Source organism: Homo sapiens, chromosome 15, assembly GCF_000001405.40.
Source record: "Homo sapiens chromosome 15, GRCh38.p14 Primary Assembly".
NCBI lineage: Eukaryota > Metazoa > Chordata > Mammalia > Primates > Hominidae > Homo > Homo sapiens.
Window position 1 is genome coordinate 44,954,425 of NC_000015.10, and position 24,805 is coordinate 44,979,229.

The window sequence follows — 24,805 nt, forward strand, 5'->3', positions numbered from 1 at the left end:
GGAACCACAAGGTCACAAAAGAGAATAGACTCAAATGAAAATATAATGACTAGCATTGAAGAAAGGTAGAAAAACACCTGGAGAATGAAAATGACATAAGGAAAAAAGAGGTCACAGAAAAGTGGTAGAAATCAAAGTTAAGCAAAGGCACTATTCACAAAGTTGGAGTGCCAGGAAAAAAGTAATAAAACAATGGAATAAACTAATGAGATAATATTTAAAAGTATGTTGCAAGAAATTTTTGCTGAAATAAACTTGAGTCGACTGAGTATTTGGGAAAATTCTCCTGAAACAGTAAACTTTAAGTCATAAGCTAGTAAAATCATTAGGCTTTATAGATTTTGAAGCAAACAATATTGACAAGAATGCACATCAAAACTTGTTATGGCTAAAAACAAATATATCAATGTAACTATGCATGTATTAGGATAAAAAAGGTGAAGAATAATTTACAATTGTGAAGGGCACATGAAGTAAAATGGGACATTTAAAGATAAACTCTTCCTGGTCTTCAAGAGAAAAGATCACACAAAACACCTTCTTTTTTTTTTTGAGATGGAGTCTTGCTCTGTCGCCCAGGCTGTAGTAGTGCAGTGGCACAATCTCGGCTCACTGAAACCTCCACCTCCCGGATTCAAGTGATTCTCCTGCCTCAGCCTCCCAAGAAGCTGGGACCACAGGTGCGTGCCACCACACTCAGCTAATTTTTATATTTTTAGTAGAGACAGGGTTTCACCATGTTGGCCAGGCTGGTCTCGAACTCCAGAAATCAATAACAACTAGATAACTAGAAAATCATATGTACTTGGAGATTTAAAAACATTTCACATAATCCACAAGTCACAATACTCATATGGGAAATCTGAAAATACTTTGAATTGAATAATAATAAAAAATGACCTCTTAAAAACATGTGACACACATTTCAAAGGAAATTTATAGCTTTATATGCACATATTAGAAAAATAAAGGATCAAAAACAATTATCTAGTTCAAGAAATTAGAAAAATAACAGCCTTTTTTTTTTTTTTTTTTTTTTTTTTTTTGAGATGGAGTGTTGCCCTGTCACCCAGGCTGGAGTGCAGTGGCGTGATCTCAACTCACTGCAACATCTGCCTCCCGGGCTCAAGCGATTCTCCTGTCTCAGCTTCCCTAGTAGCTGAGATTACAGGCATGCGCCACCACACCCGGATATTTTTTGTATTTTTAGTAGAGATGGGGTTTCACCATGCTGGCCAGGCTGGTCTCGAACTCCTGACCTCAAGTGATCCCCCGACCTAGGCCTCCGAAAGTGCTGGGATTACAGGCATGAGCCACTGCGCCCAGCCTAAGAACAGCAATTTTAAAGAAAGAAAAGTGGAAGGAAATTATAAAGAGCTAAAATTAATGATATAGAAAAGAAATACATGAAGAGAATATCAATAAAACCAGAAGTATGTTCTTTGAAAAGGCTAAAAAATTGACGAAGTTCTAATCAGATTAGGAAATAAAAAAAGGGAAGGCACAAATGACCAGTATCAGAAATGAAAAAAAGATTGTCAGAGAGGTGACTAAAGTAGGAGGAAAAATTTAAAAACAAGGACAAAAAAATGAGAACAAGAACCATGACTAGAGATCCCTCAGATATTAAAAAAGTAAAAGACTTTATGGACAACTTTATATAAACAATTTTTTAATGTTTAAAGGAAGACAACACCAGAAAAATATAACTACTTATCACAACTGATGTAAGAGGTGGGAAACTGTAAAAGGAAAACAATTTTGAGTAAAACAGAAATTTGAACACTGGTGCTATTTGACTATATTAAAGAACTATCTTTTAAGTGTGAGAATGGTGTCGCGGTTGTGTGTATGTTTTTTAAGTCCTCACTTTTCAGGGATTCAAAGTGAAACATTTATAGATGAAATGATGAAATGAATTTTGCTTCAAAAATAATACTTGATGCTGCAGAATCTGCCCTATGCCTGTAAACATAAAGCATGGTAACTTTGTTAATATTTAGGGTTTAAAACTCCCCACCTCAAAATTTAAAACAAAACCAACCAAACAAAAAACCCTCACCAACTCGAGTCGCCGCCCTCCTCTTATCAGGGGAAGGCTGAGAGGCCCCTAAGTGATCCCGAGAACCAGTCAGCTCAGTCTGGTAGTGACTGTCCCTTATCTGAGGGCCTCAGGCCCTTCCCGGCCATTCCTCTTGAGAACCAATCATCGAGCTTGACTTTGGACCTGGAACCAATCAGGGATCTCAGCTCTGCGGCCTCCTCTCTCACATCTCCACAGGCTTGGCGACGCCATGTTTCAAGGGCAGCGCGGTTGGTTTTGCGGCAGCGTTAGCCAGGATCTGAGGCAATTCTGGGGTAGGAAGCTGAGTGGAAGCAGCGGGTTAGGTGGTGAGGGGAGCATCCTCCTCTCTCTGATGCTTTGGGTCCAGGGTGCTTGATAGGTTCACCCTGTGCTCTTACCTCCACAGTGGCTGAAGGGGGAACGATCAGTGACCCGCGAGCCGCCGACTTCTTGTTCAGCTGTGATGCCTCGCACCCAGACACGCTGAGGTACTGAGGGCGACCTGGCAGTGCCTCTTATGTTAGGATGAGCCGGGAGTTAGGGATGGAAGTTGCAGTCCACTAATAAATATTGATGAGGCTGGGCGCGGTGGCGGACACCTATAATCCCAGCTACTGGGAAGACTGAAGCAGGAGAATCGCTTGAACTCGGGAGGCGGAGGTTGCAGTGAGCCAAGATCGCACCACTGCACTCCAGCCTGGGTGACAGAGCAAGATTCCATCTCAAAAAAAAAAAACATAAATAAAGTAATAAAATACAATAAAATAAAAAATAAATAAATAATATTGACGATAGGGTGAGACTGAAAACGAGCAAGTTTTCAGTCCTAGATTTGAGGGAAAGAAATAGACAACCTCCTTTCCTTTCTGCTGCAGTGTCACAGGCTTCTCCCTGGTCCTCGGGCCTCTTCCTGAATTCCAAGTGTGTGTTTCCAGCTGCCTCTTCTACACCCGCATGTAGCGCCTTGAAGGCCCCTCATACTCAATGTCTAAATCAAATCTTGTCATTTCCCCTCATACCTGCGCCAGGGCCTGTGTTCTCCAAAACTTTGAATAACTTTGAATAACAACCCTACGCCATGAATCAGTCAGAGGCCGAATACCATGAATTAGATCCCTGTAATTGTTCTTCATCCTCACTGACACTAACTTAGTAGCACCTTAATTCCGTTTTCGCCGGGACTATCAGAGTAACTTCCTAAGCCGTTACTGTGCCTCGAATCTGTTCCCTGAGATCCCCCTTCGCATGGCTATCAGATTTCGTTTACAAACCAGACATCAGATCAGGGCCCTACCACCCTCCTTTCCTCACTCCCGCCCCCACCCCCAAGCTGCTGATTTCCTACAGATTTAGATCGTGGCTGTGCCTGCCTTGTTTATTTCCCAGTTTTTCTCATGACTTCCGTAGCCCAGTCAACCCGAACTGCCATTATTGTTCATGCATGCCTTTTTCTTGTAATGCTCTTCTTATCTCCACCTATAGAAAAGATGTTGCTTTCTATATGTGAAGCTTTCTCTGACTGCATGCACACTCCTCACCTCAGGATTAATTGATCCCTCTTTATAGCAATGACCATGGATAAGCCCCATAGGCTGCTAGCTCAATCCACTGTTGATGCCCAGTGAACACGACCGTTTTAGATCAAGTTTCCTAATTCATATGATGATTAACCAACCCTGTAAAGCTGAGATGTGCCAGATATAGGCCCCCAGAAAAGAGTATCTTATGCCATATGTTTTTCCTTCCTTGCCAGAAAAGGACAGCATACATGTATGCTTCAATGTAATCGTCTCCCTACTTCCAGTGATTTATTTATTCTTTTGAAAGGTTAAATACATTCTTGTTTCTTTCATAACCTAAAATATTTCCTTTCTTTCTCCTAGAATATATCAGAGCCTTGATTACATAGAAGATAATGCTACAGTTTTTCATGCCTACTATCTCTCTGCGGTAGCTAATGCCAAAATAAAAAACTCGGTGGCTTTGGGTCATTTCATTCTTCCTCCTGCGTGCCTGCAAAAAGGTTAGCAAAGATCATTCAGCCAATCCCTGTCAGACAGCCAAATCCAGCTAATCTCTGTTAAACAGCCAAATTCAACTGTACTTATTTTGTTCTCAGTCACATATTTTTGAATTTTGTATCTATTTAACATAAGTGGAAAAAGCATGGACTTTGGATCAGATTGCCTTGGGTGTATATCCTGACTTTGTTTATGTATTGTTTATTCATACATTCATTGAGCTCTTCCTGTGTGCCAGGTTTCAACCTGGGTAGGTGCTGGGGATTCAGTGGAGAATAAAACAGTGCAGATCTTGCCTTCACAGGCTACGATCTAATGCTTACTAGTTTTGTGATCATTTAGCAAGTTACTTTCTGAAGTTGTTTTGAGGATAAAATGAGATAATAGGCCGGGTGCGGTAGGGCGTGCCTGTAATCCCAGCACTTTGGGAAACTGAGGCGGGCAGATCACTTGAGCCCAGGAGTTCAAGACTAGACTGGGCAACAGGGTAACATGGTGAGACCCTGTCTCTATTTATTTTAATAATTTCAAATTATTTCTAAAAATAAGATAATGTATTAAGGTGTCTGATGTGAGCATTTAATAAATGTGTTCTTTCCTACTTTTGAATCTCTTCATTATTTTTCTAATTTTTTCTTCTGATATTTAAAGATTGGTTATGATAATAAACCCATGTATCTGTATTTTTTAAAATACATTTGAAAGCACTTTCACATCAATTTTTTCAGCAGCCCTAGGAAATAGGATGGGGAAGTAAATAAACTGCTTCTGAGATTGGTTCTTTTAATTTTCCCTGCTTGGAACACCCTTTCTTATACCGTTCTTCTACCCAAATCCTGCCTATTTTTTCTGGGCTAACTTTATTATTATTATTTTGAGATGGAGTCTTACTCTGTCGTCCAGGCTGGAGTGCAATGGTGTGATCTCAGCTCACTGCAACTCCACCTCCTGGGTTCAAGCGATTCTCCTGCCTCAGCCTCCTAAGTAGCTGGGACTACAGGCGCCCACCACCACACCCGGCTAATTTTTATATTTTTAATAGACATGGGGTTTCACCAAGTTGGCCAGGCTGGTCTTGAATTCCTGACCTCAAGTGATCCACCCGCCTCAGCCCCCCAAAGTGCTGGGAATACAGGCATGAGCCATTGCGCCTGGCCTGGGCTAACTTTAACTAGCCCATGGGTAGGTTTCTTATTATTACTCAATTCTTGATATGTAGGTGGCAAGCATATCAATTCCTGATATGTAGCTTGTCTACATATCAAGATACGTGTTATCATACATATCGTAGATACGTGTTCATCTCCAGAAAGACAGATTAAAGCTGAGTACATATTCCCAGTGAGGAGAGTATTAAAAAGAAAACAAACAACTTAAAAATTATTTCTATAAAAGAGCCATTAGAAACCCCAGAGATTTGGTTCCTTCCATAGTCAATGTCCTGGTCAAACCTACTTATAAGTAATAACACTAAATTGTTCTAAGTAGTTACATAAATCAATTAATGACTGGATGGGGGAATTGATTTTAAAAACTACTTGTGCCAATCAGTGAATACCCACCTTCAAGGAACTTATATTGTAGAATGGCTGTGATTTAATTTATCACTCCTATTTACTTATATGATTTTAAATTATCACTCCTATTCTGTCTTTGAGTTTAGCATCTTATGTTAACATGTATTTAAATTTTCAAAAATCTGTTTTAAATGAAAACATGCTTCTTTTAAAAAATTAAAAGTATACCTTTTTAATCTGCCTATTGTCTAGTAGAAGTGTGAGGTGCAAATGTGAGCCACATATGAATTTTACATTTTCTAGTAGCCACATTACTAAGAATAAAAAATAACTGGGTGAGGTGGCATGCACCTGTAATCCCAGCTACTCTAGAGGCTGAGATGGGAGGATCCCTTGAACCCAGGAATTTGAGGCTGCAGTGCACCATGATCACCCCTGTGAATAGCCACTGCATTCCAGCCTGGGCAACATGCTGAGACGCCCTTCTCTAAAAAAATTAATTACATAATTGAGTAGAATTAATTTTAGAAATATATTTTATTTAACCTAATATATCTAAAATATTATTTCAATATATAATCTATAAAAATTGAGATACCCTACATTCTGTTTTTGATACTAAGTCTTCAAAATCCTGTATTTATTTTATACTTACAGCACCTCTCAATTTGGATTAACCACACATTTCCAGTGCTCAGTACCTACATGTAGCTAGTGGCTGCCATACTGGACAGCAAAAGTCTAGAGTAATATTACCTTTTTTGTCCTTTTGACTACTGTGAAAACTTTTGAGATCATTGAGTTTGGATGATGACATTGTCCTTTGACATACTGACCATTGTAGAATTCCTGTACTACCATGTTTACTAGACATATTGTTAATCCATCCTTCATTTATATCTATATCTATATATGTGTATCTGTATCAATATCTATAGCTATATAGACATTAGATATACATCTAATATATATCTAATGCATTATATAGATACATATGCATTATATAGAGAGATATATATCTATAAATGCAGAGGTATATCTATACATACATATATACATATACATCTAATGTATATCTAATGATACAGATATAGATATTGATGTATATTTAATATATATGTAGATACAAATATAGATAGAAGAGTGGATGAACATACCTCAATGATATATATATATATATATATATATACACACACACACACACATCTAATGTAGAGATACAAATATAGATATAGATATATTCTAGCAGGAAACGTCTACAACAATGATTAGCAAAGTGTATTAGAATCATCTGGAGAGTTTGTTAGAAATGCAAATTCCAGAGCTCCTCCTCAATGATCTGATTCAATAGGAATCTGCATTTTAACAAGTGTGTTATGTGATTTTGTTGCAAATAGAATAACACTGGCCTAGAAATTTCAGACTTTAAGCAAAATTCAGAAGATTCTTAAAAAAAAAAACCAAAACAGTATTGGATTTGTTTTTCTCACCACAGAAATAAGAAGAAAAATTGGTAGTTTTATTTGGGAACAAGACCAACATTTTCTGATAGAAAAGGTAAGAGTAAATTAAGGTACTTGATTAGCATCTACAGCTTCAACATTTTCTGAAAGCAAGGTTATCTTTAAAATGTTTATTTGTGACATGTTAGCACCAATGAGTCAGATTAAGAGATTGATTTATTTATTTTGAGACGGAGTCTCACTCTGTCTCCCAGGCTGGAGTGTAGCAACGCGATCTCGGCTCACTGCAACCTTTGCCTTCTGGGTTCAAGCGATTCTCCTGCCTCAGCCTCCCAAGTAGCTGGGATTATGGGCGTGTGCCACCACGCCCGGCTAATTTTTTTATTTTTAGTAGAGATGGGGTTTCACCATGTTGGCCAGGCTGTTCTCGAACTCTGGCCCTCAAGTGATCCGCCCACCTTGACCTCCCGAAGTGCTGGGATTACAGGCGTGAGCCACTGTGCCCAGCACAGATTAAGAAATTTAAAGGGCATGCTGTTATTGAATATTACTTGGTTCGACATTGTTTTATAGTAGTGCATTAGTAAAATTGAGGTTATTTTGTATAAATAAAATTATTCCCATAAGAAACTTGAAAATTTGCTTCTGTTACTAATAAGAAGAGAATAACAGGTGCATAGTATTTACCAGTTCTTTTTTTTTTTTTTTGGAGACAGAGTCTCCCTCTGTCGCCTAGACTGGAGTGCAGTGGTGCGATCTCGGCTCACTGCAAGCTCCGCCTCCCGGGTTCACGCCATTCTCCTGCCTCAGCCTCCAGAGTAGCTGGGACCACGGGCGCCAGCCACCAAGCCCAGCTATTTTTTTTTTTTTTTGTATTTTTAGTAGAGACAGGGTTTCACCGTGTTAGCCAGGATGGTCTCAATCTCCTGACCTCGTGATCCGCCCGCCTCGGCCTCCCAAAGTGCTGGGATTACAGGCGTGAGCCACCGCGCCCTGCCATTTACCAGTTCTTTACTGCCAGTGTAGACTCTGATTGGTGAATTCCTATGATGCACAGTTTGTTCAATGTTTTGAATAACACGCCTCAATAAATGTGTACAAGAGTCTGTCTGAACCTATTCTGGTTCGGGGGCTGCCTGATTAACCAAAACAAGAAGAAGAAAAGTGTACAATACTGGAAAAATAGCTGTTTTGTAGCTTTTGCCATCCTGCCTCAGATTTACTTACGCTTTTGACTTACTTCAAAATCTTTAAGTAATAGCCAAATTTGGGAACAATTGAGCATTAAAACTAATAATGACAATAATGGATTATAATATGTTAGGTAAAAAGAATCCATGTGCTTGCTTCGGCAGCACACATACTAAAATTGGAACAATACAGAGATTAGCATGGCCCCTGTGCAAAGATGACACGCAAATTCGTGAAGCATTCCATACGTGTATATGATACTCCAAAAGCAGACATAAAGAAAAAAGGAAGGACAGAAGGAAGAAAGGAAAGAAGGAAGAAAATAAGGAAGATAAGGGTGGGAGAAGGAAAATTTTCTTTTACATAAATAGCAGCTGGTAAATATAGAAAGAAAGATAAAATAGAAAAATCACCATTTTTAAAACCCTCAATTTAATAATTGATTTAGATAAGGTCATTAATGGATTCTAAACCTATGATCTCAAATTATCACCCACAGATTGAATATTAGTTACAAAGTAAAACAGCGTATCTTTACAATGGAGCGATCTGGCAGGCACCATTTAACTAACTTAGCAAACAGCATCACCAATATTGGAGCAACCTTTCATTATGTTCAGTCAGATATGATATAATAAATACACAATATTATCTGTGTAGTATTCTTGTTCAAAACATTTAACCCGAATTTAATTATGAGTTAACATTCAGACAAATCCAGAATATGGACCATACCACAAGACAATTAACCGACCTGGACTCTAACATCAGTTAATGTCATAAAATACAAAAAAAGCAATAGGAGCATAGTAGATTAAGAGACATAAAAAAGAGGTATAAAAGACATTTGGAGAGCAATTGGGAAAATTTAACAATGAACTGTATAATGGGTGATACTGTATTACATTTTATTTTCTTAAGTGTGATAGTGGTGTTGTAAAGATAAAACAATGTATATTTTTAGAAAACACATGCCAGGTATTAGAGAGTGGAAATGTCATATCTGCAAATGTTTTCAAGTGGTTCCACAAAAATAAAAAGAGAGAGGAGGCACTCAAGGTGTCAGAAATGTTAACACTTTGTGAATCTAGGTGAAAGGTATATGGTATTTATTATACTATTCTTTTTTTTTTTTTTTTTTTTTTTTGAGATGGAGCCTCGTTCTGTCGCCAGGGTGGAGTGAAGTGGCGGGATCTCAAGCTTACTGCGACCACCACCTCCTGGGTTGAAGCGATTCTCGTGCCTCAGCCTCCCGAGTAGCTGGGATTACAGGCACCCGCCACCACACCCAGCTACTTTTTGTATTTTTAGTAGAGACGGGGTTTCACCATGTTGGCCGGGATGGTCTCAATCTCCTGACCTCGTGATCCGCCTGCCTTGGCCTCCCAAAGTGCTGGGATTACAGGCGTGAGCCACTGTGCCTGGCCTATTGTACTATTCTTTAACTTTGTGGTAAGTTTGAAATTTTTCACAACAAAGAGTTAGGGAGAAAATCTTTCATTTTTATTTTATTTTTTTTAAACTTCAAACCCACAGCCATATCATATAGAAAACCTTTACATTATGTCCAAAATCAGGCCATCAACTTATATATTTTATATTTCTGTCATTAATTTGTTTTTTCTTCCCAAGGCATCATCATCTGAAAATAATAGTTCTTTCAGTTTTTTTTTCTAGGAGGTAATAGTATGTTGTACTAAGGACTGAAATATCTAATCCTTGACTTTTCACAGTGTTTCCAGGAATGTGAGCAGTAATGCAATGGTTATTATTTGGTGGTAATTATTGACTCTAGCAGAACTTTAGAGTTTAAAGATCATTAATTTCATCATTTAGCTTTATACATGAGAAAACTAAGGTAAAGAAAATATAATGACCCATTTTAGTACACATTGGCAAAGTGGAGCCAAATTTTCTCAGCTCTAACCCAATCCAATGTTTTTTCTACTAAAAAATTACTAAAACGTGCTTGTATGGACGTTGACTCTAGAAGTTATATTATTACATGATAAAAGAATTTGTCAATTCTTTCAAAATATTGGTTGATATGAGTATTAGCCAATTATAATAATGTAACCATAGAATATATACGTGGAAGGTATTCATTGAATGGCAATAACTAGGGTAAATCTGGGGAGCATTACAATTGTTTGGAGTGGATTTAAGTTTTTATTTAAATATAGAAACTTCTTAATGGTGGCTGGGCGCAGTGGGTCGCGCCTGTAATCCTGGCATTTTGGGAGGCTGGGGCGGGCCGATTGCCTGAGCTTGGGAGTTCAAAACCAACCTGGGCAACATGGCAAAACCCCGTCTCTACTAAAAATACAAAAAATTTGCCAGATGTGGTGGCTGGCGCCTGTAATCTCAACTACTCGAGAGGCTGAGGCAGGAGAATTGCTTGAACTTGGGAGGCGGAGGTTGCAGTGAGCCGAGATTTTGCCACTGTACTCCAGCCTGGGTGACAGAGCAAGACTCTGTCTCAAAAAAAAAAAAAAAAAAAAAAAAAAGAAAAGGAAAAAAAAGAAACTTCTTACTGGTATATAAAATAAATAGATTATATGATAGGTACCAGTATCTAAGTTGCTTTCACAGAATATTTGGAAAAAGCTTAACATATGTTTAGTTATTTTGTATCTTTACATATATATCTTTACGTATATAGTGAAGCAAATACTTCACTGTCCTTTTGAAGGAGAAATATAATTTGTTCAGCTTTCTTTATATTTTTGAGTTATATATTTTATACCTTTATAAATATATAAATATATATTTATAAAGATATATATATTTATAAAGATATATATTTATATAGATATATATTATATTTATATAGATATATATAATTATATATTATACATTTATATATTATATATTTATATATCTATATATTATATAAATCTATATATCATATAGATTTATATATTTAATAGATATATAAATATATATCTATATAAAGATATATATTTTATATCTTTATGTATATAGTGAAGCAAATACTTCACTGTCCTTTTGAAGGAGAAATATAATTTGTTCAGCTTACTTTATATTTTTGATTTGTAGCTCACAGGAATCCCTAAGTCAAGGATTTTAAGGAAGTTTAAATCAGTAGCAAGATTTTTTGTTTCCTTATTTTTGTGACTAAAAAGTAATATAACCACATTAGAGGAAATTTCAATAATTGAAAAGAGAATAAAATCAGTTAAAGTTTTACTTATCTGACATAACCACAGCTGGTATATTTAAAATTCTGGTCTTCTTTATGTGTCTCCAAAAATATATAGTATAATTATATGTGTGTGTGGAAAAAATTTTGTAAATTTTCTTCACTCAGCTAGATTGAGTGGACTTAAATGTGTAAATATTTTTATGGCTTTTGAGATATATATTTCCAGTTTATTTTTCCTTTTTAAAAACATTACTGATTGGATCACTGGTATGACGATTTTTTAAAATGTGATTTACTTTTCTATCCACAGCATGATGAAGTAACACCAAATGAAATAAAGACCCTTAGGGAAAACAGTGAACTAGCAACAGAGCACAAAAAAGAATTATCCAAAAGGTATTGAATTCAGAAACTTCATTAATATTCAATTCAATGTAGAAATCTGTGAGCACTGATTGTGTGCTTATCTCATTTAATTTTCAGTTTTCCTATGAGATAGATAGCATTATAATCATTCCCATTATACAAAAAAAAGAGATCTATGATTAGAAAGATAAGCAATTTCCCCAAAGTCATACAAACTTTATTAAGTACGGGAGAAGCAGGATTTGCACTGAGTCAGAGCCCATTATTTAAATGGTAGTCATTAAATACTATACCAGGTATTTACTATGTAGAATACTATACTATCTCATAGTATAGCACACTATACTGTCTCTGCAGAAAGGAGACAAGGATTTTATGTATGTTATGATAGCAGTTAATAAATTATTTAAAAATTATACGTATCTGTGTGTGAAAACCCCATCATCACACTTATGAACTACAAAAGAATCTTAAAATATATTTTTTACTTGGAAGGAAATACACTACATATTAGCAGTAATTTTATTAGGATGAAAAGTGGTGAGTGATTTCCCATCTTCTTTCCAAATTGCTTTAATATATTACGTTGGTTTAAGAAATTAAATTTGGGCATTGTGCCGCATGCTTGTAATCTCAGCACTTAGGGAGGCTGAAGCCGGATGACTGCTTGAGCCTAGGAATTTGAGACCAGTCTGGGCAGCATAGGGATACCCCACCTCTATAAAAAATTTAAAATACTAGCTGGGCATAGTGGCACATACCTATAGTCCCAGCTATTTGGAGGCTGAGGTGGGAGGATCGCTTGAGCCCAGGAGGTTGAGACCGCAGTGAGCCGTGATCACGCCACTGCACTCTAGCCTGGGTGACAGAACAATACTCTGTCTCAAAGAAAAACAAGAAATTAATTTAAAAAGACAAACAAACATGGCCTTGCCATTGTATTAGGAACAGTTTATAAGAGGCCTTCTCATTGCAGGCTTATACATGATCTAGTCCTAGCTTCATATTTTCCAATTCAGTTGGTTTTCAAATATTCATAGGGAACATTGGTTCTTCAGAAGTCTGTTTTATCCCTCCAAACCTGTGGCCGGAGTCAATCTAAAAGTGGAGGCAGGGGAATCCCCACAACGGAGTGCCCCAAACAGTCCCAAGCTGGGGCCAGTTGGGATTCTAAAGAAAGAACCACTAGCTAGAGTAATCAGTCTAAAGCATTTATTGAGGGAACTTGCAGAGTATCGCACCAATCCTTGCAATGGACAAGATATAAGGGGTGTTCTACCTAGGTATATCCACAGTGAGGGGGTCTGGGTATGGAGTTTATATGAGGGTTTAAGGAATCTGGCTCAGGGCTGAGGCCAGTTTCTTTCAGTGTTTTGAGCAGCAACCTAGATACCTTTATCAGTGCCTGGAAATGTTTAAGGTCCTGGTTTGAGTTCAAGCCTGATGGGAAAACCCTGCACTGGGCTGTCTCACAGAGCAGTCAAAGCCCTCTGTGATTTTTGGTCAGGACACAGAAAGCAAGCCAGGAGTGGAATCAGGGGAGGGGAGGATGGGACTGGGGTACCCTACAGTCTGGTATTTAGCTGCTGTAATATAAATGATCAAATAGTAGTTATCTTTCTTCAAAATAAAAAGTAATGATGTAATTTATATAATTTTTTCAAGTTTTTCTCCCATAAGGGCTAATTTCCTTAATATACAAAGAGGTATTAGAAATCTGGGAAAAATATGTCCAATCCAAAAACAACAGAAATGGACAAAGGATATGAATAAACCCTAGGTAGGTGTCTACTTAGAGCCTTTTCTCTGTGGAAACACCAGAGGGTGCAGTGTGAACACAGATAAAATATACCCTCAATTTACCTGCTGAAGCATTTGTTAGCATAGTACTAGGGACGTTGATTTTTTTTACATCATACAAACTTGATGTATGAAAAATCAGGCAGTACAGAATTAGTATAAAATCCTAATTTCTCCCAAATCCTCTCCCAGTGATAACCTTCATTTTTTGTTTTTAATTGAGACAGAATCTTAGTCTGTTGCCCAGGCTGGAGTGCAGTGGCGTGATCTCGGCTCACTGCAACCTCTGCCTCCTGGGTTCAAGCAATTCTTGTGCCTTGGCCTCCCGAGCAGCTGGGACTACAGGCACATGCCACCCCACCACACCAGCTAATTGTTTGTATTTTTAGTAGAGACGGGGTTTGGCCATGTTGCCCAGGCTGGTCTCAAATTCCTGGCCTCAAGTGATCCACCTGCTTCAGCCTCCCAAAGTTCTGGGATTGCAGGCATAAACCACCCGTGCCTGGCCGAAAAATCTTATTTGATATTATGATGTGTACTGGCAGCATATGGCATTTCATTTTGTTTAACCTTTTTTTTTTTTTTTTTTTTTTTTTTTGAGACAAAAGCTCACTCTGACCCCCAGGGGTGGAGTGCAGTGGCACGATTTCAGTTCACTGCAGCCTCAACCTCCCAGGCTGAAGTGAGAGATCCTCCCTCCTCAGCCACCCAGAATGCTGCTAGGATTACAGGCATGAGCCACCACACCTGGCCTAGAATTTGTTACTTTTATGACACTTCCATGAACATCTTTTTAAAAATAAATCTTGCTCTACTTTTTTGATAGTTTTCTTCATGTAAATTATCGGATGTGGAAATTATGGTATAAAGAGGAGTTTTTTTTCTTTCTTAAACACCTTATTTATTTACTTAGTTTGTGTGTGTGAGAGAGAGAGAGACAGGATCTTGCTGTGTCACCCAAGCTGCAGTGAGGTAGCATGATCATAGCTCACTGCAACCTGGAACTCCCAGGAGTTCAGGCAATCCTCCCACCTCAGCCTCCTGAGTAGCTAGGACCGCAGATGTGGGCCACCACGCCTGGCTAATTAAAAAAATTAATTAGACAGGGTCTCGCTCTGTCACCCAGGCTGGAGTACAGTGGCACAATCTTGGCTCACTATATCCTCTGCAACCTCCACCTCCTGGGTTCAAGCAACTTTCGTGCCTCAGCCTCCTGAGTAGCTGTGACTACAGCTGTGTACCACCCCGTCTAGCCAATTTTTCTTGGTGTTTTTAATAGAAACTTTTTTTTGCCATGTTGGCCAGGCTGGTCTCAAACTCCTGGCCTCAAGCAATCCACCCTCCTAGGCCTCCCAAAGTGCTGGGATTATAGGTGTGCGCCAACTCGCCCAGCCTAATTAAATTTTTTTTTTGTCAAGATGGCATCTCACTATGCTGCTGAGGCTGGTCTTGAACTTCTGGGCCCAAGGTATTTATTAATTAGTATAGTAGCAGGCCAGGCATGGTGGCTCACACCTGTCATCCCAGCACTTTGGAAAGCTGAGCCATGAGGATAGCTTGAGGCCAGGAGTTCAAGACCAGTCTGAGCAACAGAGAGAGAGCCAGTCACTACAAAAGATAAAAAAAAAAAATTAACTGGGTGTAGTGGTGTACTCCTGTAGTCCTAGCTACTTGGGAGGCTGGGGCAGGAGGATTGCTTAAGCCCAGGAGTTGAGGTTTGCAGTGAGCTATCTATGGTCATTCCACTGTGCTTCAACCAAGGTGAAAGAGTGAGGCCATGTATCAAAAAAAAAAAAAAAATTAGTAGCATATATCTGTTTCTTAGAATATGGAGCTGGAGGGTATTCTTTCATATTGGAAATAAACTACATAATATCATACAGTATGTTCAAATGCATATACTAAAGAACTCTACAAAATTTTAATCAAAATCTACGTTTAGTTTGTTAAGTAATTTCTTGAGAGAACCACTGAGAGACAGTGTCCTTGTGATCAAATGATGAGTCTCTTCAGAGTTAAGTCTTATAAAGGAAATTTTTATTATGTTGATCCAAGTAATGCAGTAGTGGCACATTGGTTAGAAGGCAAAATTTTACTTTAATTTCCCTAAATGCTGTCTCACTTGAGTCAGGAGGGATTGGGAATACTCAAAATGATCTTCCAGAGAATTTCTGCCATAAGAGTGTGTGCCCTCATTAGGAATGGCTCTCTCATTATCTGTCCGTGATTGGAGGACTGCTTTCTCTGATAAAACCTTTATATCTCCTGGTAAAGAGGAAGATGTAGTATAAAAAAGAACTTTGCCATTTGGTCAGGGAAGGGGATGTCTTGTGTATGTTGCAGTAAAATTCATCATGTGCAGTTTTGTGCTGTCTTTCCAAGGGTCTTCAATGCATCTTACTGAGGTGCAGGCTTTCTTGATTGCAGTTGGGGTTTCCAGTTTTCTTAATAGTTCAGCTAGCATTTGAGTCACCAGATATAAATTAGACATTTATCTCTTCAGTTGCCAGTATACATTCTGTGTATTATCACTTGAAGTTCTTACTCTTCAGAGATCTCTGCTCTTCAAGATTGTCTTCCTCATACAGATAGGTTTGTTTGGTTTTTGAGTAGTTCTATTTTGAGATCGTTACCTTCTTTCCTCATCAACTCTTGTTCCAAACCGTGGATCTTCAGGTTACAGCTTAACTTTTCCACCTCCCAGTTTGATGAAGGTGGATTGAAATTCCTCATCACCAGCTGAGTTTCCACCTCTGTCCTTAGCTAGAGTTCTACTTCTTTAGATTGCATCTGTTTATTCAATACTTTTAAAGATTCAGAGTTGTGTTTACTCATTTTATCCAATTTGCTCTTTAAATCATCTCTCAATGCAAATCTTTCAATATACAGAATAGGCCTTATTTACTTGTTGGTATTCCACAAAACTTGTTTCTTCATCTAATTGAGCTCCTATAAGCTTTTCTTCCAAAAATCTAATTCTTTTCTTTAACATAAGATTTCTCTTTCTCTGAATCCTTAAGTCCTTTTTTGATGTCTTCATATGGGCAAATTGGGAAGCAACAGAAGCATCTCCTCAATATGTTGAAACTGGAGTTGCTGGGGTTTTCTCATAATTTAGCATACAGGTGTCACCTTCTATCAGTGCATCCATGAGAGCCTGAAACCAGGCTACTTAGAGCCGCCACGGAGTTTCCATTCCCTAATGTTTAGAAACAGCCAAAAACAGATCGGGTTGCCAGGGATCATCACGGGTTCAGATTTCCCTGAAGATACCTCCACTTAACCAGCGAAAGCAGCCACTCTGAGTTATTGAAATGAGGATATTGGTCTTATATCTACCCATTTGGAATTCCTTAAGATTCTAAGGATATTTTAATTGATTCTAAGGATATTTTAATCGATTCTCTCTTGGCTCTTCAGGGTGCACAGTCATATCATTTGTTAATAATGAAAGTATTCCAGCTGGGTGCGGTGGCTCACGCCTGTAATCCCAGCACTTTGGGAGGCCCAGGCAGGCGGATCACGAGGTCAGGAGATTGAGACCATCCTGGCAAACACAGTTAAACCCCGTGTCTACTAAAAATACAAAAAATTAGCCAGGTGTGGTGGCGGGTGCCTGTAGTCCCAGCTACTTGGGAGGCTGAGGCAGGAAAATGGCCTGAACCTGGGAGGCCTGAGCTTGCAGTAAGCCAAGACCATGCCACTGCACTCCAGCCTGGGTGACAGAGCAAGACTCTGTCCTCCGAAAAAAAAAATAGTAAAATAAAATAATGAAAGTATTCCTTCTTTCACAACATCTCTTCCTTTTCATCCCCCCCCCTCCTTTTTTCCCTTTATCTCTTATTGTTTGGCCAGAATTAAATAGTGGGTGGTCCCTGACTTTTCTGGGAACACAATTTTGCTTTATTTGTAGGACCTCATCCTGATGAGTAGAGTTTCTTTTGGGAGAGTTTAAATGAAATAGAAGCTTTTTTTTTTTTTTTTTTTTTTTTTGAGACAGAGTTTCGTTCTTGTTGCCCAGGCTGGAGTGCAATGGCGCGATCTTGGCTCACTGCAACCTCCGCCTCCCAGGTTCAAGTGATTCTCCTGCTTCAGCCTCCTGAGTAGCTGGGATTACAGGCATGTGCCACCACGCCTGGCTATTTTTTTGTATTTTTATTAGAGACAGGGTTTCACCATGTTGGCCAGGCCGGTTGTGAACTCCTGACCTCAGGTGATCCACCCGCCTCGGCCTCCCAAAGTGCTGGGATTACAGGCGTGAGCTACTGCACCAGGCCTTAAAAATGGAAAATAAAGCCTTTGCTATTACTCAGTGTACTTCTAGATTTTTAGGAAAATAATAAATTTAAGGATGACTCCAATTTTTAATTATTGAGGTTTTTATTTTTATACAATTATATTGTTAGTTATATGTGATCTAAGTATAGTAAACATTGTCATTTTTGAATAGTGACTGTTCAAAACATGAATGAAAATAGGATCTTTTAGTTGAGATCCTTTTAGCTTTTTTTTTTTTTTTGAGACAGAGTCTGGCTCTGTCACCTAGGCTAGAGTTCCAGTGGCGCCATCTCAGCTCACTGCAACCTCCACCTCCCAGGTTCAAGCAATTCTCTTGCCTCAGCCTCCCGAATAGCTGGGATTACAGCTGCTCGCCACCACACCTGGCTAATTTTTGTATTTTTAGTAGAGACAGGGTTTCACCATGTTGGCCAGGGTGGTCTCAAACTCCTGACCTTAAGTGATCCGCCCACCTCTGTCTCCCAAAATGCTGGGATTATAGGCGTGAACCACTGTTCCTGGCCACCTTTTAGCTTTTAAAAATAAGAATATACATTTTTTTAGATTTTATAATTGTATAATTAGAACATCAATTGTTTTTTTTTTTTTGAGGTGGAGTCTCGTTCTGTTGCCCAAGCTGGAGTGCAGTGGTACGATCTTGGCTCACTGCAACCTCTGCCTCCTGGGTTCAAGCAATTCTCCTGCCTCAACCTTCCGAGTAGCTGGGATTACAGGTGGGTGCCACCACACCCAGCTGATTTGTATTTTTAGTAGAGATGGGCTTTCACCATGTTGGCCAGGCTGGTCTCGAACTCCTGACCTCAGGTGATCCACCTGCCTCGGCCTCCCAAAGTGCCAGATTTACAGGTGTGAGCCACTGCGCCTCGCCTAGACATCAGTTTTTATTTGTTATAGTAAACTATGGAAATACTAGTTAATAGATGCCCAATTATTTGAATACTAACAAACATGTTGTGATCATTTAAAATAGAATCTACTATGCTTTTCTTTTGGCAGATTTAATACTGTATATGTATATGTGTATTTTGTCTAAATATATAGTATTGCATTATTGTACTTTCAGGGATATGGAGAAAAAGACCCAGGACTCTATAGACTCAAATACTTGTTTTGTGAAGCGGCTAAGAACACTAGAATATCTATATGGGTCTTTATATTACTTAAAAGCACAAAAGAAGTTCATAATTAACATTTTCACCCATTAAGACTGAAGTCTGATCAAAGAGCAATTAAATTACTATATATGTGCTCACTTTGACAGCACATATACCAAAACTGGAACTATTCAGAGGTTAGCATGGCCCCTGCGCAAGGATGACAAGCAAATTTGTGAAGCATTCTATATATTTTTAAAAAATCACTATATATATTGCCTGGAATAAGTTCTTACTTGTAAAACAAATCCAAATATATACATATGTGGTATAGTATACTATAGTAAAGGTAATTATGTATTATAAATATTTATTTATAAATATACTTTAATATAAATGTAATACATATAGACATATATATACTATGTATGTGTGACTTTCTGTATGCTTTATTTTACAGCCCAGAAAAGCATTTTATAAGAACTCCAGTTGTAGAAAAGCAGATGTACTTCCCTCTACAGAATTACCCAGTTAACAACATGGTAACAGGTAGTTTAAAATAAAATTTAGAGTAAACTCAGGTAGGAAAGAAACAAGGGAATATTGTGTTGAATAAAGCTGTTGTACTTCAGATACCTAGAGAGTAGAGCCTTCTCTAGTAAGCCTGGTAATGGAGGACACATCACTTAAATATTGAATAAATTACCTGCAGAATTGACCCAGGAATATGCTTTTAAATTTTCTGTGCTAAAACAATGGTATCAAGGTAGGGTGACCACATGTCCCTATTTACATGAGACAGTCCCAGTTTAAGCTGTTGTTCTGGCATTAGTTTTTAATTCTCAAGTGTCCCAGTTTGGAAGATAAATTATATGAACAGCTCCAATCAGAGTTTCTTTTGAGAATCTGATGAAACATAGGCCCCTTTCCTTAGCATACACACATAGAAACATAACACACACACTGCCATTCCATTCAATATCAAATATATAAATATTTTAAAAACCAAACAAAAACATAACACACAAACTTTGCATATAATTGTAAAAGGCTCACAGATGCCCAGAAGCCTATACATGGATTACCCAGATGTCCATGGACTCCTTATTTGGGTTTCCTATCCTAGTGCTGTACATAAAGAGAAGACAACTAACCACGGCTGACATTGAGAGGGTAGAACCAAGGGAACCAACTGAAAAGTGGCCATTGGGATTTCAACTGTGTTGAGTGAGATGGATATTTAGATACTTTGATCTGAGTAGTATTCAGTGGAGTCACTGATAACAATTTTAAAAATAGAGATTTTTTTAAAAAATTGCTTTTAAAAGAGCAATTTTTAAAGTATGGGTTTTTGAAAGCTTATTTAAAAAATAATTTGTATATTTATCATTTTCTCTTTATTTAGCAATGTTAAAACTACCTCTTGCAGCTAGTCCACAGCTTCCTAGATCATAGATGTCTTGCCATATTACTATCCCTGTTCATTTGGACTTACCAAACATTTATTAATATATTTAAGAGAGCAATGATAAATATTAAAATCAGCCATACATAAGGACATATACCTACATTTGGACATGTAATAGTGCTGCTTTTTGTATTATTGCTGGATAAAGAAACAGTCTGATTGTTCAAAAAGACATAACAGTATAACATAAAAACAAATTTTTAAAAACTATTAAAAAATTAGTCAGAATTTTAAAAGTATAATTTCAACCTGTGGTAATACTCTGTTGTGAATTTTATTGGTAGAACTAAAGTAAAAATTTTTAATCTTTTTATTTGCTCAATTGAATAAATTTCCTTTTTTGTATTTCTGCATTAAATAATAGCAATTTCTTGGGAGAAATCTTCATTTTTAGAGATAATGTATTTGTTTTTAATTTTGATGTGAAATGACAAATACTTCTCTTTTTTTATCATGCCCATCTGCTTGCACAGGAAGGAATAACTTCTTGTTGGAAGAAATCAGCTTGTGTTAATTAAACATTTAGTGACTAAGAGTACTAATTTAGGCTGTGGTATCAATTTTTGTGACTAAAACTTCACTATCTCTTCTTTGGAATGGGTTGGGTTCAACACATTGACTATTAAATTTCTGAAAATAGAATTAATTGTGGTCTTTAGTTATAGAAAATACAAGTTGGGGCAATAGCCTAGAACAGGGTTTCTCAGTTTTGGCGCTACTGGCATTTTAGGCCAGATAATTCTTTGTTTGGGCGAGGGTAGATGAGTGTCAGTCCTGTGCATTATAGCATATTTACCTTGGCATCTGCCCACTAGATACCAATAGCATCACCCATCTCTCCCCCAGTTGTGACAACCAAAAATGTCCCTAGACATTGCCAAATATCCCCCTAAATCATCAAAAGAGTTTTTGTTTTGCTTTCAGCTTTTGACTGGAATTAAATTTTCTCAGACTAATATCACTTATTATCACCCATGATAAGAAGTTCTGATTGACATTTACATATGTGATTAATAAGAGTAAGAAAGCAATTACTAATAATTGTAAATACTTTGCTGGCAACAATTTTCAAATCAAAAGGTTCTGATAATTAAAAGTTTGGAAATCTACAGTAGATGCTGTATTAGTTATTTATTGATGTAAATCAAAGTGCTCCAAAACTTAGCAGCTTAAAACAATGAACATTTATTTATTTATTTATTATAGAGATGAGGTCTCACTGTGTTGCCCAGGCTGGTCTCGAACTCCTGGGCTCAAGCAATCCTCCTGCCTTGGCCTCCCAAAGTGCTGGGATTCCAGGTACGAGCCACCGCACCTGACCCAGTGAACATTTATTATTTCAGTTTCTAAGGTCAGAAATCCAGGAGTATCCTAGCTGGATGCTTCTGTCTCACAGCTTTTTGTAAGGTTGCAGTCAAGTTGTCAGCTGGAGTGCAGTCATTCCAAGGCACAACTGGGACTGGAAAATCCACTTCAAACCTCATTCAAGTGGTTATTGGCAGGTGTTGGGTCCTTGCTGGATTTTGGCCAAAGGCTTCAACTCTTCACCAAATGGGCCTCTCCATAAGGACCATCCACAGCATGGTAGGTAGTTTGCTTCCCTCAGAGTGAAAAATCCAAGAATAAGAAAGAGCACGCCCAAGAAAAAAAGCCATAGTCTTTTTTACATCCGACTCTCAGAAGTGACATTGCATCACTTCTGTCATATGCCATTGGTTATACAGATCAAAACAAGTACAAAATCGTAGTGGACTGTGAATATCAGGAGGTGGGGATCAGTTGGGGCCACTGGGTGGCTGGCTATCACAGATGCATGTGGGATTGTCCACCAGGAGTGCCTTTCTTAGGAATTCCCTTCTCCCTCCCAATTTATCTGGATAACACAGGAACAGACATTTTTTTAAACATGAGCTTGCTCCCCATGCTCAACATTTGCTTTGAGAGTGAATGCTGATTTGAACCGGGCTAACTGCAGATCTTCTTCTGGATTTTTAGATGTGGAACATAGCAAATCAAGTCATTCTCATTTAGGTGATCAAAACTCTAAGATGTAAAACTTAGGAGCTGTCATTGGCCATATTTTCTACCATGAAAAGAAAGCCAACTTGCCTCCAAAAAGGAAAATGAGGCTAATACATAGAGAAAAACTTGAGACCAAGGCTGCAGTGAGGTGTGATAGTGCCACTGCACTCCAGCATGGGCAACAAAATAAGACCCTGTCAAAACACACACACACACACACCCCAGAAAAAAAAACCCTAAAAACTTCAGACTGGTGAGAGCAATCATAGCTGGTTCTAATTAACTCTGAGTCCCAGCAATATGCCTGCCTTCCTCACAGCTCGGATGATACGGCAATGTCCTTCCAGTAAACTCCCCTTTTGTTTAAGTTAGTTTAAATTAGGTTTCTGTCCATTTCATCCTAAAGTCCTTAACTATTCAAAAATGCTACAATAATCTATTTCTGATGCCATAAATGTCCTATCCTTCTTATACTTATAGGAATATTTTTTACTAATGTAGTAATTTTTAAATTCCTATCCTCACACATCTTCAGAGGTTTCACACAGTGTATATGTGCAATTAACTAAACACTAATAGTGATATTTTTCTGCACTAGTTTATTTTACACAGATACATAGCCATTAGGCAAAGATTATGAACTCATAGAGTATAGTAATAGTGCTTCAAGAGCTCCTAAAGTAAATGACCATGATTAAAATATCTTTAAAGATACTAGTCAATTTTATGTGCTTCGATTGATAGTTAATTTATTAACTCTGAATTTATTATTTTTATTAAAAATGATTAAACAATATGCATGGATATCCTGTTGATCTTGATGGTATGGTGTTCTAAATTCAGTCATCCTTGAGCTCTACCAGAATTTTTTTCACACAATATTTATTTTTAAATTAGATTTCAATTTTAGTAAAAGCCACAAACACTTGTATTACACATAAAATGTAATCATTTAAATAGTAAGCAATTGATATCAAGTTAATATTGCTTAGTCATAGAGTCCTTAAGCTGTCTCCATTCTAGGCAGTGTTTTTTTTATATGACTCATATCTGTTTTGGATAACTAATTGACATCAAAATTACTCTCACCCATTATCTTTGTTGACTGAGCAGTAACATCGATTTTTCATTAACTTTTTTTGTTAAAAGAATCCTATTCCAGTGTTAGCAGTGCAGGAAAGTGTTGCCTGCTGGAACAGGGAAGATGAACTGTTTGCACTGTTAGTAGCTAGTTGGATGGATAGTTCTAAGTGATTACCGTCTAAGCTAGAAACACTTCCCAGTTATTTTTATCTAAGTTCTTTTATGTCCTAGCCCCAACCTAGACATCACAATCTCAATAGTCAAAGCAGCTTTAATCCACCTTTTAATATTTTAAAAGGTGGCAGAAAGTTGTGGGAGGGGAAGAGGAGGTGTTCCCGGATAATTATAAGGTTTCATGGAGAATCTTCTCACTGGTATTATTTCTTCTTTTTACTTCTTTTCTAAAAACATTCTTTAGAAGTCTTAACTCTAATAAATCAAAGACACTGAAAAGCAAATAGTATGAGCGGGTTTTAAGTATATATCTTTTTTTAAATTTTATTTTGTAGGTTATATATCAATTGATGCCATGAAGAAATTCCTTGGGGAGCTACATGACTTCATTCCTGGAACCTCAGGATATTTGGCATATCATGTTCAAAATGAAATTAATATGTCTGCTATAAAAAACAAATTGAAGAGGAAATAGTAAATTAAATTGTAAATACCTTGGCATTTATTTTCTATAAAATATTATACAGATGTGCATATCATAAAATGCTCCCTTTTGGTACTGGGGGATAGTGAAATGGGAAATAATTTTTCTGTTTCTCAAAGTATATCTTTAGGAAATACAGAATCATTTTGGTTCTGTGTTTTGACATTTTTCCCCTAGCTTTTAACAACATGTTCAAATATTCTCAATGCACAGTTGTTAATGAGTAATTGCCGTTAAAATATATTTCATAAGAAGTCTCAATCTCAAACTCTCCATCTCTCAATCCTCCTCCTCCTCCTCTTTCTTGCTTTCTCTTTTCCCTCTCTCTTTCTCTCCTCCCCTTCTCTCTTTCTGTCTTTCAAATGTTCTTTTGGCTTTAACATTCTATTAATTATATTTTTTCTAGATTGAATACTGTGAATGCTAAGTTTTATTAATCTGGTCATCTTATTTTGATTTTAAAAATTAGGATGCTAGTTGCATTCTGAATTACTGTTTCTGGTTTGAAACATGGAGAAAAACATTTTAATAATTCATATTTCATGTTGGATGGTTTCTAATAATAAATATCTCAAAAGTGACTTAACATAAA

General features: G+C 37.5%; 1 protein-coding gene and 3 pseudogenes across 2 annotated transcripts, besides 1 other annotated feature; 3 read left to right on the forward strand and 1 right to left on the reverse strand.

The window, feature by feature from the left end:
• The first annotated feature begins 2,262 nt into the window (after positions 1 to 2,262).
• On the forward strand, positions 2,263 to 24,805 carry TERB2 (telomere repeat binding bouquet formation protein 2). 2 transcript variants are annotated; one of them, NM_152448.3, is made up of 7 exons: positions 2,263 to 2,358; positions 2,472 to 2,553; positions 3,949 to 4,088; positions 7,099 to 7,160; positions 11,734 to 11,819; positions 19,443 to 19,531; positions 24,065 to 24,805. In NM_152448.3, exons 1-7 carry the CDS (start codon positions 2,295 to 2,297, stop codon positions 24,202 to 24,204), a joined length of 663 nt encoding a protein of 220 aa, NP_689661.1. In that variant the 5' UTR covers positions 2,263 to 2,294; the 3' UTR covers positions 24,205 to 24,805. The 2 variants fall into 2 exon arrangements, with proteins under 2 accessions (NP_689661.1, XP_011519542.1); XM_011521240.3 differs by lacking the exons at positions 11,734 to 11,819; positions 19,443 to 19,531; positions 24,065 to 24,805 and adding an exon at positions 9,408 to 9,540.
• On the forward strand, positions 8,406 to 8,509 carry RNU6-1332P (RNA, U6 small nuclear 1332, pseudogene; annotated as a pseudogene).
• On the reverse strand, positions 15,390 to 16,890 carry LOC100187725 (5-azacytidine induced 2 pseudogene; annotated as a pseudogene).
• Positions 17,630 to 17,808: a silencer, noted in NCBI's record as "fragment chr15:45264252-45264430 (GRCh37/hg19 assembly coordinates)". NCBI's record gives its function as "represses an EF-1alpha promoter that drives an FKBP-Casp9 reporter gene in an ReSE screen in HepG2 liver carcinoma cells {active_cell/tissue: HepG2}" and the evidence as "EXISTENCE:reporter gene assay evidence [ECO:0000049][PMID:32094911]".
• RNU6-966P (RNA, U6 small nuclear 966, pseudogene) lies at positions 19,134 to 19,236 on the forward strand (annotated as a pseudogene).

Excerpts from the sequence above, each read along its gene's own strand:
- TERB2 (NM_152448.3), top strand. The coding sequence starts at position 2,295 with ATGTTTCAAGGGCAGCGCGGTTGGTTTTGCGGCAGCGTTAGCCAGGAT. Across the intron at positions 2,359-2,471 it reads GGATCTGAGGCAATTCTGGG|TGGCTGAAGGGGGAACGATC; the intron begins GTAGGAAGCTGA and ends TTACCTCCACAG. Across the intron at positions 11,820-19,442 it reads AAAAAAGAATTATCCAAAAG|CCCAGAAAAGCATTTTATAA; the intron begins GTATTGAATTCA and ends TTTATTTTACAG.